The sequence below is a fragment of the Homo sapiens genome, chromosome 2 (assembly GCF_000001405.40).
Source record: "Homo sapiens chromosome 2, GRCh38.p14 Primary Assembly".
NCBI classification, from domain to species: Eukaryota; Metazoa; Chordata; class Mammalia; order Primates; family Hominidae; genus Homo; species Homo sapiens.
The window spans coordinates 220,558,263-220,575,621 of record NC_000002.12 but is presented as its reverse complement, the minus strand read 5'-3'; the positions used below and the strand labels follow the sequence as shown (position 1 = coordinate 220,575,621).

The 17,359-nt window shown below is 41.6% G+C and overlaps 1 long non-coding RNA gene across 1 annotated transcript in view; it reads right to left on the bottom strand.

Annotated features, from left to right (window-relative positions):
* The window catches only part of LOC105373895 (uncharacterized), a 66,857-nt gene extending 59,681 nt beyond the window's left edge, over positions 1 to 7,176 (bottom strand). Inside the window, exon 1 of the long non-coding RNA XR_923937.3 lies at positions 6,993 to 7,176. This is a non-coding gene — a long non-coding RNA (uncharacterized LOC105373895). The remainder of the gene's footprint in view (positions 1 to 6,992) is intronic.
* Positions 7,177 to 17,359: the final 10,183 nt, after the last annotated feature.

Here is a 17,359-nt window from a genome sequence, read left to right as displayed (position 1 = left end):
CCAGGTGCAGTGGCTCATGCCTGTAATCCCATCACTTTTGGAGGCCAAGGCGGGCGGATCATGAGATCAGGAGATTGAGACCGTCCTGGCTAACACAGTGAAACCCTGACTCTAATAAAAATACAGAAAATTAGCCTGGCATGGTGGCGGGTGCCTGTAGTCCCAGCTACTCAGGAGGCTGAGGCAGGAGAATGGCGTGAACCCAGGAGGCAGAGCTTGCAGTGAGCTGAGATCATGCCACTGCACTCCAGCCTGGGCAACAGAGCAAGACTCCATCTCCAAAAAAAAAAAAAAAAGATACTAAAAGTACAAACTCTGAAGAAGGAAATTATAAATCTAACTACATCAAAATTGAAAGCATCTATGAACAAAATGAAAAGACAAAGAAAAGACAAACTGGAAAGTCATTTGCAACCCACATAAAAAACAAAGAATTTATAATCGAAACATATAAAGAATTCCCATAAATCAATACAAAATAAATCAGTAGCCCAAGAAAGAAATTTGGCCAGTGAATAAGGTTAAATGAGCCACAGAAGAGGATACTTGGATGGCCACTAAATAGAAGAAAATATGCTCAATTTCATTAAGGAAATAAAAATTAAGATGAAAAGCCATTTATTTTATGCTCATCAAACTAGCAAAAAATTAAAAGTGTGAAAATTCCCAGTACTACAGAAGTGTGTGAAAATGAAAAGTCTCAAATATTGTCAATGGGATTATAAATTGAAATCTCCATTTAAAAAACAATTTACTGATATCTAGTAACATGTAGATGTATACTACCAAGCACCTTGTGATTTTCTTCTGAAGTATAACATAGATGAATGCTTGAAATAAGCTTAAGGAAACATATATGCAGACCATATCGGCAGCTTTTTGTGCAGTGGAAAAAAATTAGGAACAGAAATGTCTACCAATAGGACATACGGAATAACACTGAACAGTAGAGACAAATGAACCAAAGCTACAGGCATCAACAGAAATAAATCCTGAAACAAAATATTGGGTAGAAATGTCAACCACACAATACTACATTCCTTTTAAGTTAAAAGTTTCAAAGTAATACTATATGCGCTTTCGGATACAGGTAAACATAATAAAACTACTGACACCTGAATGGAAAGGAACAAACTAACTTCAGCATAGTAGTTATCTTTGCAGCAGGAAGAAGAAAAAAAATGGAATCAGGAAAGATGATATGGTTTGGCTCTGTGTCCCCACCCAAATCTCAACATGAATTGTAATCTCCACATGTCAAGGAGGGGACCCAGTGGGAGGTGATTAGATCATGGGGGCAGTTTCCCTCGTGCTGTTCTCATGATAGTGAGTTCTCATGAGATCTAATGGTTTAAAAGTAGCACTTCCTCCTTCACTCTCTCTCTCTCCTGCTACCATGTAAGACATGTTTACTTCCCCTTCACCTTTCGTCATGATTGTAAGTTTCCTGAGGTCTTCTCAGAGAGGCAGACTGTGAGTCAATTAAATGTCTTTGTTTATAAATTACCCAGTCTCAGGTATTTTTTATAGCTGTGTGAAAATGGACTAATACAGAAGGGCTAAAGGTGTCTTTAAATGTGTAGGTCTTTCTTTCTTTCTTTTTTCTGTTTCTTTTTTTTTTTTTTTTTTTTTTTTTTTTGAGACTAAGTTTCCCTGTTGTTGCCCAGGTTGGAGTGCAATGGTGCCATTTGGCTCACCGCAACCTCTGCCTCCCAGGTTCAAGGGATTCTCCTGCCTCAGCCTCCTGAGTAGCTGGGATTACGGGCATGTGCCACCATGCCCGGCTAATTTTTTGTATTTTTTTTAGTAGAGATGGAGTTTCTCCACGTTGGTCAGGCTGGTCTCGAACTCCCAGCCTCAGGTGATCCGCCTGCCTTGGCATCCCAAAGTTCTGGGATTACAGGTGTAAGCCACCGCGCCTGGCTGTCTTTATTTCATAGGAAGATGCAAATATGGAAAATGGTAATATTTCTTAGATCTGGGTGGCTGATATTGGCAAATTATATATATATATATATATATGAGAGAGATAAATATTAGATAGATAGATAGATAGATCAATAAAATATTCTCTGGACAGGCTTTTGGGTCGCCAGTTCTGGGTTAGGATACTGGCTCTACTTCTTCCTGACTGTATATCCTAAGTAATTTATTTCATGAGAATGACCTCAGTTTCCTCTTTTTCAACAATATATACTTCAAAGGGCTAAAGATTAAAAGATGCATAGCATAAAAATATATAGCATATTAGTATAATACCTGGCACAGAGTAGACATCAATAAAATGCTACTATTTTTATTTCTTCAATAAATATCTACATTTTGTGTATTGCCAAGCTTGTAAAAGTAAATTACCTGGAGTCACATTATAATGTTTCATCAATAACTTTAATATCACGTGCAATAGAATTGACTGGCACTCTTTTGACAATTTATAGGTATGATTCCAAAAATGGCCTGAAGCAGTTCTCACCTGGAAACTCCTTTTAAAAAGTATTCTAAAGCAGTGATGGCCAATTGTGATGATGGAAATATTTTCTGTGCTGCCCAATACAGTAGCCGCTAGCCGTACATGTACTAAGTACTTGAAACGTGACTAATGAGATCAAGAAACTGAAGGTTCACAGATCTTCTTAATTTAAGTTTAAGTAACTGGGTCTTGTGGTTACCATATTGGAAAATGCAGGTTTAAAGTAATAAAATGCATTTTTTAACAAGTACATCCTGAGTATGCAGAACATTATGTTGGACAATGTAGGAGAAACATAGGGTAGTTTGTGCCCTCAAATTTATAATCCATAAAATGAAAAGAGACATACATGAAACATTTAAATGACAACAAGAGGCGGCAGTGACGGAGCTAGCAAGAGTGGAACCTAAGGCAAATATTGGTTAGCTCACCTGGGCAGCCACAATGAAGGAGGGCTCCCAGGCTATGGCAGCTGTACTCGGGACTCAAGAAACTAATACTCTTTGTAGGAATGAGCAGCAGAGGGAAGACACTCCTGACACCCAGCTCAGCTTAAACAGAACAAAGGCTGTAGTTGACTCACTGCTGGAAATGTGCCTGGTAAGGAAGATGTGCCGGTGAAGGAATTTGGACTTAATTTGGCTTTCCTTGTTCTGTCCACATCTCCAGCCTCATTTCTCATCAACATCCACCTCATGTCTTCTTTCCAGAAGCTATGAGCCACATTTACCTCATCTTGCATGGCCCATCTGCATGCATTAACTGATGTTGCCCCTTCTGCTTTGATCACCTCTTCCACGGCATTGTTTGGGTAACTTCTACTCGCCCTTTAAGATCCACATCAGGTATTGCTTTCTCTGAGAAGTTATCTTCTGACTTCCCTCTCCCACGCAGGGCATATTAAATGCCTCCACATTTCCAAAAGACCCCATGCTCATGTCTGGCATCAATCTTATTACACACTCTTATCATTAAGTCCATCCTCTCTGACTCTTCAAGAGCTCCTTGAAAGCAGGAATTATATTACACCATCAGATTCATTTCTGTTTATCCACAGCTCTTATTATATTCTATATGAATAAATAAATGACTTTGTCATATAAGAAGATTCCCCAGAGATTTTTGACTTGATCTTTGTGACATTTTAGAAAATATAATTTGTTAATCATATTTAGTGTGGATATACCTGCCTAAAACAAAGCACCAAGCACTTTTAGGATCAGTGATGACAAAGTATCAGGATATTTTGAAAATATTAACATGATTTTCTAATCTTTTTTCCTTTTTTTTTTTTTTGAGATGGAGTCTCACTGTGTTGCCCAGGTTGGAGTGCAGTGGCATAATCTCACCAAAAGCTCTGCCTCCTGGGTTCACGCCATTCTCCTGCCTCAGCCTCCTGAATAGCTGGGACTACAGGCACCCGCCACCATGCCTGGCTAATTTTTTTGTATTTTTAGTAGAGACAGGGTTTCACTGTGTTAACCAGGATGGTCTCGATCTCCTGACCTCGTGATCCGCCCACCTCGGCCTCCCAAAGTGCTGGGATTACAGGCGTGAGCCACCGCGCCCAGCCTCTATTTTTAATTTTTATATGACCTTTGCTAGCATGGCCTTCTCTCAGATAATCCACATAGCATGGTTTTCTTTCTTGTCATCTATCAAGTCTAGTTCAAATGTCACTCTTAATGTCCAGAAACTCACCTGCATCACTTATTCTCTCTTGCTTTATTTTCCTCCATACCACATATCAACACCTTGTATGTTTACTTTACTTACTCATTTGGTTTACTGATTGTCACTCTACACTAGAAAGACAGTTCCTCGGAAGCAGGAATTTATTGTTTTCTTTACCACTGTATTCCTAGCGTCTAGAATAGTATCTGATACATGGTCTCTGTGTGTGTAGGAGAGGGGGTATGTATGAAATAAATATCTACTTTTATGTTTGTCATTCAGAATAAGATTCTGCAGTAAGACAAAAGGCTCTGAAGCCAGGCTTTCTTGAAAAATATTTATCTAAAGGTTAAAGCAATTTTGCATAACCAGAACCAAACCTGGAGGACTCAGATCTTAAAGTGTTTTCCATAGTGTTGTAAGATATCCCTTCCATCCATGACAACCAGGTCATAAGATTGTTTGCCAAAACAGAAGGAAGATGTGCTACAGAACAATGGCAAGTCCAGCCAGCCTTTGGCAGTTCCTGGGTACTGAGTCCGTGAGGCAGGAGCGCAAGAGTCCAGACTTTGACTCAGAGATCAGGAGGAATTTTAGATAATTTAGCTAACAGACAAAAAAGTCAAAAGCAAAGAACTCTAGAACAGATTCTGGTAGAGATTACCACTACGTCATGTTGGTGAGGAGTAGGTGAGGGGAGAGGGTGACATCAAAGGCAATTAGCAACCCCAATATTATCATCAGAGGAATGGCCAGGGTCTAACTTTCTGGAGCCACTCTTGTTTCTGGTGTAGTGTGGGTGGGACCTGGGATCTTTTGCCAGCCTGTGAGGGATAACTTCAAGGCAGTGGAGTTCAGAAACAATAGGCCTCTAATGATGAGAGAAGGAACCTTATATCAAGACCACACCGGGTGTGGAAAGGGAATGTGGTTGAAATTCAGAGGACAAGAGAGAATCCAGGTGAGGCCAGGTTGCAGAAAAAAGCTACTGAACCAAATGGAGCAAGAGTGAACCCACCACAAGTTATACTGGCTACAGATGCTGACAGGGACCAGGTGGACGGAAGAATACCACTCAGAGAGCAGAGGCAGCAAAAGATTCTGCCTGGACCTTAGGATTCCATCACTCTGTTGGCTCAAGGTCACATGAACCATTTTAGATGGCTGTTGGGGAGGAAATAAGGGAAATGGAGAAGTCTTAGCATTTTTTCCTAGAGGTTGAGAAACATGAAAAGATAATTTCACCTCTCCAAGATTCAAGTTACCAAGTTGATCTATCCCCACAACTTAGCAAGAGGGTGATCTTAAGAAAAAGCCTATCACTTGTAGACAAGATGGAGAAACTGCTTCTTCTTTGCACATGTGAGTAGACCATGAGTACTGATCCAACAAAATATCCTGTGCACACAACCAGAGCTCCATCAAGGTTAAATGGATGCTAGTGGGCAAAATCCAGACACTTTTCACAAAGTGGGGTTCTTCGTGGCCTCTAGCATACCTCCTAATAGACCACCAAGTTGTGAAGCAATTGTTCTGCTTCATGCTAATAATAAAAGATACTGAGGCAGTTTCCTTGGAGATTTTATAATAACGCACTATAATTCACATTTATATTCCATAATCTAGTTCACCAGCGGCTTCTCCATATATGATTTTATGTCATCTTTACAGAGTAGCCTGTGGTTGTTACCAATCCCGTTTGACAGATAAAGAAAGCTGAGCCACAGGCTCTTAAATTGCAGAGCTGTGTGTCTGGATTCCACACTGTGTGGATGCCTGACTGTCCTGTACTGTGTAAGTTGCCAACTGTTCTCATTACAGACGTTGGGGAGTTTCTCCCGCCTCCCCAAAGAGTTTTTCTCCAGTCACTGATCCAGGAAGCTCTTATTCTTGCCAAGCCCAGTCAAGTGGGCAGGTATCAGCATGTTTCCCCCACCCCCACCCCCAGCAGGTGCAGGCAAATGAATGGCAGTGTTCACTGCCTCTTAATGAGTAGCCCCATGCTGCCACAGTTACACATTCTGGTTTGAATTTTTAATTCCATCTCATAAAATAGTACCATAAATCATCCTGCGCTCCATTTAGAGTTGCATTTTCCAAAACCATCTCTGAAGTAATTAAGGAGAAACTACCCAGGCCTCTAAATCAGTTCTCTATGATATGCAGGAGCAGTGAAAATTCTGCAGCTCACTTTCCCTTTCTCCCATCTCTTGCATCATTTCACTCTTGCTATGACACACTATCATCCCCAAACCTTCATTCACAAAATATTTATGAGCCATTTGTGAAGGTTTAGCCACTGAGAAATATAATGCCGCGTGACAAAAATGAGTTATATGAAAGTGTACAAAGTCTTACTTTAATATAATCCATCCAGCCCCAGGTCCACAGATTAATAACCCAAACCTGACTCTGATATGAGATCCAGGCCAAATGCAATATTCCAAAATCTTGTGGCTGTACCCAGAGACCTTGCAACCTAACCTAATTTGCCTATTGCCTATATTTTAAAAATCAAATGAATACATAAATAACAAGTAAATCCAAAAGAGATTTCCTTAGCTCCGGGGAGCACTTTTACAGCATATACAAAGCAAACCAGTTTGAACGTTTCCCAAACATGCAGGTGCTAAATACTCGTGCTTGGCAGGAATAATTATTTGTTGTATTCCCTGGATCTTCTATTTTGCTGGATTTAATTTGTTTTCAATACTTAGAGGGAGTAAAAATATAAAAGTACACCAAAACAGTAGAACAACTGTGACAGTAAATGAGAGATTTACCACAGCGCTTGTTATGAATATTGTTTAGACAGCATAAAATTGAAAAATAGCAAAAGGATACCTACTTTGATTTGTCCCTTCCTGCTCTGCAGCTGGTGGAAAAATGGGATCCTGAGACAGTGGACTATGTCATGCTGTTGGAGAAGAGTTGTCGTGCACTGCACGTGAGCCAAAATCACAACGTTCTTCAGAAAGGAAGCAAGCTGTGACTTCTTTAGAGTCTCTCATCACCAGTAAATGTTCTGGAACAACAAAAAAGGCAAGTGTTGCTGGAAGAAGTTCTTAGGCAGTCCTGGGGACCTGAGAGCCATGGGAGCAAGGCGAGGCGGTGGCAGCCAGGTAGAAACAGACACGATTCCTCCAGACCAATGCTTCTCAAACCCAGCTGCGTATTGGAATCATCTGAGGAATTTTGAAAGCTTACGGAAGTCAGAGACCAACCCAAGACTGATTGAATCAGAATCACTGCAGGTGGGATTCAGGCCCTGCTTGTTGCAAAATGCTCTCCAGATGAGGCGAATGTTTTGTCTGGGTTGGGAGTCGCAGAGTTGCAGGTCAACTCTGTTGGGTAATTGTGATTGATGATTGACTGCTCATAGGCCCTTGGTATAGGTGAGAAGTTGCAAACTTGAAGCCGGAAGACTTAATTTAGAATATAGATATGCTTGGTTTGGCAAGCATCATGCTTAACATTGAACTAATATTTTAAAACATAAAAATAAAAGCAGGATATTTTACATTAAAATACAGATTTCCAACTTCTAAAAAGGCAGTTCTGGACATCCTACAGGGAACACTGGCTGGACCTAAGAGACATGACATCTACCCTCTCACCCAAAGCGGGTCTCTGCAGTTCTCCACAGTCCTCATCACTCCCTTTTGCACACCATGTCAGTTCCCTTCTCTCACCAACAGTACCTACATGGCTTTAATAGCTATTTTTCTAAATGCCACCAGCATAGACCTACAGAACCTGGGGATCACAGTTCTGAGACTCAATTTTATGAGTAAGGAAATGAGGTCTGGAGAATGCAAACTGGTTCTTAGTCCTATTATTTCTCAAGGGCTGTCATACTTTCTCAAATCTGCATTTACCTACGCAAAACCTCCAGCAAAATTTGTTTTTGCAGATTGGCCTATTAATATTTAATGATGTTTCTCTTTGAATTTTAAAGTAGTAATTAAATTGAACTATTCTGAAAGAGCATATTAATTCCAATTTTTAAAATATGAAAGAGAATAAGTCTTGCTCAAAACAAGAACACAGTAAAAAGTGAACATTAATTTTGTAGGGTGAGCCTGGGTACCTCTTATTAAATATGTATTTCAGTAATGAGAAATAAATTGAGACAACAGCTACTAGGGAAACATAAAATATATGCTAAGAAGAAATGTTTCCATTCTCTAACTTTCTTAATACCTTGGCTGGCACTTCTCAGTTTCTGACTTCATATGCGTTTATGTTCCTCTACTATTCTATGAATTCATTCAGGACAGGGCGTTGGTTTTATTTATCTTCTGGGTCTGTAACAGCATCTAGCACAGAACTTTAGTATAATTAGTACTCAGTGAACATTGGTAAACAAAAGCAAGCTTTTGTTAAGAGCATCAGTACTGAGGTGAGCACAGTCCCACCGCAGCAGCTAGAGAGCAGACACAGTGATCATTCTGTCCACTTCCATTTACCCATGGCTTTCATGATGAACAAAAAATTAAAACCCATTGAACTTCTACTCTACTCCAGGCACTGCAGCCAGCAGGAGAGATCTCATTTAGTTGTTACAACAACCCTGGGTATCACTGTCCCCACTTTACAGATGAGGAGATGTTGGTCTAGAAGTTAAGTAAGTTCCCCATATTTACGCAACTGGTTAGCAGCCATAGCTCAGAGCTTCTACGCCTTCTCACGTCACCTGGAGACTACATTAAGATGCAGATTTTTATTCAGTAGGTCTGAGTATGCATTTCTGACAGAGCCCCTGTGAAGCTGAAGCTGTTAGCCCATGTCCACCATTTGAATAGAATTGAAGTATGAGGGTCCCAAATGCCTGCCAGGTCAGAGGCTGGGATCCTTGAAGTTTTTCTAATACAATAAATTGTGTAATAATTACATGAACTGTCACTGAATTCAGACTCTCTCTTCCATTTAATTTGTAAGATGCTATCACACCATTTACTTTCACTATCTTCCTTTTTCTTTCATTGTCTTAGCATCTCTTGCTCATGTTCCCTGCTGAAAGGAATTTGGGATTCCAGGCCCTCCATGGACCATCGCTCATATGCACAGTTGGAAAAAATAATCTGGAGAACCTCTTCTGCTGCAGGCATTGTACCAGGCTTTAGGACGCAGTCATAAGCAGAAAAAGCTGCTCCTTAAATCAAACCAAAATTACAATCCAGAGGTGGAGAACCATGATAGGAAGAAAGCATTTGCTCTGAGTACACTGCACAAAAAGTTAATCATGAGCTGAGGTGCTTGGAGCCCACTTCCCAAAAGGGGCGTTCCCAACTGAGACCTGTGAGTAAGATATAGTCAGGTGAAAGGAGGACTAAAATGGAGTGTGATGGTTAATTTTGTATGTCAAATTGCCTGGGCCATGGGTGCTCAGATATTTGGTCAAACGATATTCTGGGTGTGTGTGAGGGTGTTTTAATGAGACTAACATTTGTATCATTAGACTGAGTAAAACAGATTTTCTTCCTTAATGTGCATGGCCAGAAACCAATCAGTCAAAGGCCTGAGCAGAACAAAAAGGTTGACCCAACCACAAGTTAGTTGGAACTCCTGCCTGACTGCAGGTGCTGGAACATTGGTCTTTTCTGCCTTTGAACTCAAACTGAAACATCAACTCTTCTTGGTTGTCAAGCCTCTTGGCTTCCAGACCAACACTTACAGCACTGGTTCTCCTGGTTATCAGCCCTTTGGGCTTAGACTAAAACTACACGATTGGTTCTTCTACGTCTTCAGCTTTCAGATGGCAGACCTTGAGACTTCACTGCCTCCATCATTGCATAAGCAATAATTACCTATAATATCTATCTCTTTATCTTCCTATTTATCTGTTTATCTATCTCTATCTCTGTCATCTATCTCCCTATCTATCTCTATCATCTATCTATCTATCTAATCTATCTCCCTATCTATCTCTATCATCTATCATCTATCTATTTATCTATCTATCTATCTATCTATCTATCTATCTATCTGTCTATCAATCAATCTACCATCTATCTATCCTGTTGGTTCTCTTCCTCTAGAGAACACTGACTGATACACTGAGTAAAGGGCTAGGGATGAGGGAGGTCACAGTGCATTGTAAGAACTTCAGTAGAGTCTAGTGTTGCCAAAGCCTAAAATAGTACATGGAGAAAGGCAAGCCATAAGCCTGGAGACGACCTAAGCATGGCAGGTCAGGCAGAAGGAGATATAACTGGCCTCAAGGGTCTGTGGCTCACTTCATCTATGTGCTCCTGATTCAAGTGGAAAGTAATTTTTTTTAAATGATGAGCTATGGGTGACAGGGCATTATTCATATACCAGCCCCATAATCATGAAATATATCCATGTAACAAACCTGCACATGTACCCTTGAATCTAAAAGAACTTCAGGAGGCCAAGGCAGGTGGATTACCTGGGCTCAGGAGTTCAAGACCAGCCTGGATAACAAGGTGAAACCCCGTCTCTACTAAAAATACAAAAATCAGCTGGGTGTGGTGGCGGGTGCCTGTAAACCCAGCTACTCAAGAGGCTGAGGCATGAGAATAGCTTGAGCCCAGGAAGTGGAGGTTGCAGTGAGCCAAGATCATGCCACTGCACTCCAGCATGGGAAACAGAGCAAGACCTTGTCTCAGAAAAAGAAAAAAATTGAAATTGAAATTATTTAAAAAAAGGCTAAATTTCAGAGACAGACCCCAATGAGGAAATGTCTGAAGTTTTATTAATTGCATTAATTATTCATCTAGGTCAGGAACAGATGCATAGATATTTCCTTCATTCGTTTATTCAGTGAATATGTATCATGTGTATACTGGGTGCCAGACATCATTCTAGGTGCAGAGGAGGCACCAGTGAACACAGTCTCTGCCTTCAAGGATCCTGGTGGGGAGAGAAATACAGTCAATAACCAAGTAAGCAATACTATACATTGCATGCACTGGATAGTTGTAATTTCTACAGAGGCAAATAAAGCAGCCTAGGCAGTGTCAGGGTGGGGGTTGCTTAATATTCCCTAGCGGGTGCAGGGAAAGGCCTCAGTGATGAGATGGGACTGGGCAGGGCCTGATAGAAGTGAAGGAGAGGGTCTTCCATGCAGGAGGAGCACTGAGCACGATGTGTTTGAAGTGATGAGCTGTGTTCAGGGAGCAGCTAGGAGGCCAGTGTGGCTGGGTAGAGGGAGAGGAGCGATGGAAGGAAGGAGGCTAGGCCTGGGGTGACTGAGGCAGAGCAAGAGAAGAAAGAGTTATAAGGAGACTACACATGGGGTGAAAGTGGAGACGGAGACGAGAAGGTAGGAGACTAGACTTAGGGTGCCTGAGGCCTGATGATGGAGAGCCTTACAGGCCACTTTAAAGACTTGGACTTTTACTCTAGAAGACATGGGAAATGCCTCAGGGTGTCAAATGGAGGAATGACATGATCTGAATATTGTGATGTTAATAGGATCATTCTGGCTCACTCTTGTGGAGCATAAACTACGATGAAGCAACTTGGAGGAGGAGAGACCAGGGAGGAAGCTACTGCAATCATTGCAGTGAGGCAGGATGGGCCCATACCCAGGTGGTGTTAGCGGAAGTGGTGAGAAGGGAGAAAATCCTGAACATATATATATATGTGGATTTATATTATATAGACAGACATATGTGTATATAATTTATCATGTTAAAATATACATAACATAATATTTATCACGTTAAAATATACATACCATAATATTTATCACTTTAACCATTCATAAGTATATGATCAAGTGGCTTTAAATACCTCCCCAATGCTGTGTAGCTATCCCCATTACCTATGTGCAAAGCTTTTTTTTTTTTTTGAGACAGAGTCTCACTCTGTCGCCCAGGCTGGGGTGCAGTGGCAAGATCTCAGCTCACTGCAACTTCTGCCTCCCGGGTTCAAGCGATTCTCCTGCCTCAGCCGCCCAAGTAGCTGGGATTACAGGCACCTGCCACCACACCCAGCTAAATTTTGTATTTTTAGCAGAGACGGGGTTTCGCCATGTTGATCAGGCTGGTCTCAAACTCCTGACCTCAAGTGATCCACCCGCCTCGGCCTCCCAAAGTGCTGGGATTACAGGCATGAACCACCGCGCCCAGCCCCAAAACTTTTTTATTACCCTCAGAAAAACCTCTATATCCATGAAATAATAACTCCCCCTCTCCTGCACCCCAAGCCCCTGGCAACTACCGTCTACTTTCTGCCTCTCTGAATTTGACTATTCTGGGTACCTCATATAAGTGGAATCATGGTTGTCCTTCTGTGTCTGACTTATTTCAGTAACTGTAATGTTTACAAGGTCTATCCATGTTGTAGCATGTCTGAAAGTTTCATTCTGTTTTATTGCTGAATAATATTCCATTGTATATTGATACCCATTGTATATGATAACCCACTTATCCATTGACGAAAATTTGAGTTGTTTCCATCTTTTGGATATTGTGAATAAAGATGCAATGGAAATTATATACACATATTTGTTCCAGTCCCTGATTTTAATTCTTTTGGATACAATACCAAGGAGAGGAATTGCTGAGTCATATGGTAGTTCTATGTTTAATCATTTGAGAAACTGACAGAGTGTTTTCCACAGTAGCTACACCATTTTGTATTCCCACTAACAGTGCACGAGGGCACCAACTTCTCCATTCTGGATGTATTGATGTTTTTATGTAGGCTGAACAAGATGGATTGGATGTGTGATGTCAGATACATAATCATGAAGTAACAAAAACCTAAGCCACTCCAAAGTTTTTGGCCCAAGGTACTAGAAGAATGGGGTGACATTTAGTGAGACAGAAGACTGTAAGAGGAACAAGTGTGGGGACAATATCGACAACTTAACTTTGGGTATGTAAAGGTTTACAATGCCTATTAAACAACTAAGGAGAAATGATGAGTGGGCAATTAGAAGAGTCTGGAATTCATTGGCGACATCTAGCATAGAGACAGTATTGGAGACAGTCATGTGCCTATATGAGATGAGGAAGGGAGTGAGTATGTATAGAAAAGAGGGAAGATCTGTAAAAGTTAGTGGCCTGAGAGATGAATGGCATGCTCAAATTTAGGATAAGTTGAGAAACAGTATTTATTTATTTATATTTTATTTTAAGTTCTGGGGTACCTATGCAGGATGCGTAGGTTTGTTACATAGGTAAACCTTGGTGGTTTGCTGCACCCATCAACCCATCACCTAGGTATTAAGCCCCATGTGCATTAGTAATTTTTCCTGATGCTCTCTCCCCCACACTCCTTCCTGACTGGCCCTACTGTGTGTTGTTCCCCTCTCTGTGTCCATGTGTTCTCATTGTTCACCTCCTACTTCTAAGTGAGAACATGCGGTGTTTGGTTTTCTGTTTCTGGTTAGTTTGCTGAGGTTAATGACTTCCAGCTTCATCCATGTCCCTAGAAAGGATGTGATCTAAAATGTCTTTTTATGGCTGCCTAGTATTCCATGGTATATATGTAAAACATTGTCTTAATCCAGTCTATTATTGATAGGCATTTGGGTGGATTCCATGTCTTTGCTATTGTGAATAGTGCTGCAGTGAACACATGTGTGCATGTATCTTTATAATAACATGATTTTTATTCCTTTGGGTATATACCTACTAATGGGATTGCTGGGTCAAATGGGATTTCTGGTTCCAAACCTTTGAGGAAACACCAGGCTGTCTCCCACAATGGTTGAACTAATTTATATTCCCACCAACAGTGTAAAAGTGTTCCTATTTCTCCACAATCTTGCCAGCATCTGTTGTTTCTCGACTTTTTAATAATCAACATTCTGACTGGCATGAGATGGTATATCACTGTGGTTTTGATTTGCATTTCTCTAATGATCAGTGATGTTGAGCTTTTTTTCATATATTTATTGGCTGCATGTATGCCTTTTTATATTACACTTTAAGTTCTAGGGTGCATGTGCACAACGTGCAGATTTGTTACATAGGTATACATATGTCATGTTGGTTTGCTGCACCCATCAACTCGTCATTTACATTAGGTATTTCTCCTAATGCTATCCCTCCCCCAGCTCCCCACCCACCGACTGGCCCCAGTGTGTGTTTTTCCCCACCCTGTGTCCATGTGTTCTCATTGTTCAACTCCCACTTATGAGTGAGAACACATGGTGTGGTTTTCTGTCCTTGTGATAGTTTGCTTAGAATGATGGTTTCCAACTTCATCCATGTCCCTGCAAAGGACATGAACTCATCCTTTTTTATGGCTGCATAATAGGCCTTCTTTAGACATAGTATGTCTTCTTTTGAGAAGTGTCTGTTCATGTCGTTTGCCCACTTTTTAATGTTTTTTTTATTTTTTGTAAATTTGCTTAAGTTCCTTGTAGATTTTTGATGTTAGAACTTTGTCAGATGGATAGGTCGTAAAAATCTTCTCCCATTCTGTGGGTTGTCTGTACTTAAATGTAAAACCCAAAACTAGAAAAACCCTAGAAGAAAATCTAGGCAATAACATTCAGGACATAGGCATAGGCAAAGATTTTTATGATGGAATCACCAAAAGCAATTGTAACAAAAGCAAAAATTGACAAATGAGATCTAATTAAACGAAAGAGCTTCTGCACAGCAAGAGGAATATCTATTTTAAAGGATTTCAAAGGTGTAGGAAGGTACAAGGCAATTACAAGGCATACTGTGCTGCTGTTAAAACCTGTTCCATTCCTCTCCATAGCTTCTGGTGGCTTGCTGGGAATGCTGGCATTCCTTGACTTGCAGTTATGTGTATGGTAGATGCACCTGATAGCAATAGCTTAAGCATACCCAGAGAATGATCCTGTATGGCAGATGCACCTGAATGTGATTCCAAGGAATCTGGGAGTTGCCAACCCGGAGATCTGTCCCCTGTCTGTAAGGAACATCTGAGCCCACCAGCCATACTCAAGGCCCTGAGTTTGGGTTGAATGAAGGTTACCAGGTGGAGGTTGTTAGAAAAAGGGTGCTAAGTGAAAATGCTGTAGAAACTGCGTGTCTTTTGAAGGTGGCTGTGGTTCTTCTGCTTAGCCCGCTGCCACTGGGCTATCCTGTCCAACCACTGGACTGTATGTAAGGCGGTTCTCCTGCCCAGCCTGCCGCCGCTGGACTCTGACCCCTGTATGTAAACCCTACATCTCATTTGCTGGCTCTGGGTCTCTTCTTTGGCTCTTGAACCTGGTGCTATCCCCACTGGGATCAATAGAAGTTTGGCACAACAATGTATCATCTTTTTCTCTACCTTCGTGATCACACGGTGTTTGTTCTCCCAGTCTGCCTGTCTCTGTGCAAATTCCCCATCTTATGAGAACACTAGTCATATTGGACAGGAGGTCACCCTACTCTGGTATGCCTCATCTTAACTAATTACATCTGCAAAAACCTACTGAAGCCACATACTGATGTACTGGGGTTAGGACTGCAACAATGAATTTTGGGAGGACACAACCCAAACAAGCACTAAAGTCCATGATGTCATTCATAGAGCTCAGCCTCCCAGGGCACAAAGCTTGGCAGGGAAGGGGTGAGTGAAGAGAGAACCTGTGGGGGGGAGGGCACATGGAAGCTTTTCCCCTAGCACAAAGGTAAGGGAAGTTCCAATATTTGGAAGTCTGGGATATGAGGAGGAACTGCAAGGAGACAGAAAAGTTGCCTATGAGGTAGAAGGAGAATCAAGAAAGAGAAGTCTCCATGTGTGAAGAAAGGATTTCAGGAAGAAGAAAGTGATCACACATAATGTGGCTAAATAATATAATGTTAACATAATCACTTCTTGAGAGACTCCCAAGTTGTAGACTGCTTGAAGCCACCTGCAAACTATCAAATACCCAGACCTTGCTTTGAAAACCACTTATCTGTTAGAAAAACCATTGCCTGAAATAATTTTCGAGTGTCTGCATTTGCATGTTTTAAAGTACATTGGGTCTCCTCAGCTAGACCATAAGCACCTACCAGTGTTAGGGAGGTTCACACTGCTCTAGCTTAACGTTAAGCAAACCCAAAGCCTGGGTAGATGGATTATTAATCTTCCAACTGCAACTTGGCTCACTGCCACAATACCTACAAAATGAAAAATTAATGGCTTGGTATTAGGGATTGTCAACTAACCAATAATCCCAAGGGGTTAATTCTGCACTAAGCCTACTTGAATTTTTTTTTAAATGAATATAATAAAACCATAAACAACAAAGAAACATGTTCATGGAGAACTCTTGCTGACCCCTAAGGAAAGAATGTCCAACCATTCTGCCTTTCCAGAATCAGGGGAAAGGGAGGAGGACACTGAGGGGAGAGAACAGCTTTCTTCAATGTTGCTGATTAAAGCTGAGTGACTGATACTGTTGGTGGTTTAACTCAATGAATCGCGTTCTTGAAGTGCACCCAGATCAAGGCAGGTGGAGAAATTTCCACTAGATGCTGTTCCATGTCCTTATGACCATGGGGAGAGCAGGGCTAGGCTAGGCTGGGTGGGTAAATGAACTGCATTTTGCCAGTGTATTTGGGGGCAGTGGCAGACAAGGCCTGGCCCCTTAGGGTCACTGTTCTGGGCAAAGAGCCAAAACTGGGGGGTATGCAATGAATGGAGGCAAAGGGCTGCAAAAAGAGTCAGCAGGCAGCCTGAGGGCAAATACAGACGTCACAGTGTCAGGTCAGAGAGAGTGTAGAGACAAAATGGCCACAGGGCACACACGCTATGAGTTCTGGCCCATAGGAGGTCAACAAGGGGGTGAACAGGCAACAAGCGGGTGGACGGCAGGCCGAAGGGCAGCAGCGACAGCAGGAAGCCAACTCAACAGACCCAGGTGTGGAGGTCAAGCACTAGGCTCTCAGGAAATTTCAGACCATGGTGAGGGACTGGGGTTCTGGGAGAACAAGAGCACGTAAAGTAAACGGAAACATATGCCCTTGTCAAGGAGGGAACCAGTGGAGCAGTTTCCCAAGCTTACTTTCTGGTCTTTTCTATGCTATGAGGAGTGTCGAATGCCAGTTCCAGGTGGCCTTTTCTGAGGCCTGCAGGTGGGAATGAGCAGCCAGCAGCCAGCTGCGGAGGGGCAGTAGTTTCCCCTGGCCACACCGCATCTGCCTTCCGGGGACAGCTCAAGGGGGCAGTCATTCGTTGCTGCATACCCAACCCCTGACTCCTGCTTATACTGTTATTAATGTTGTTATTATCCTTATTAGTTTCTTTGTTTAATTTAATTTTTTTTTGAGACGGAGTCTC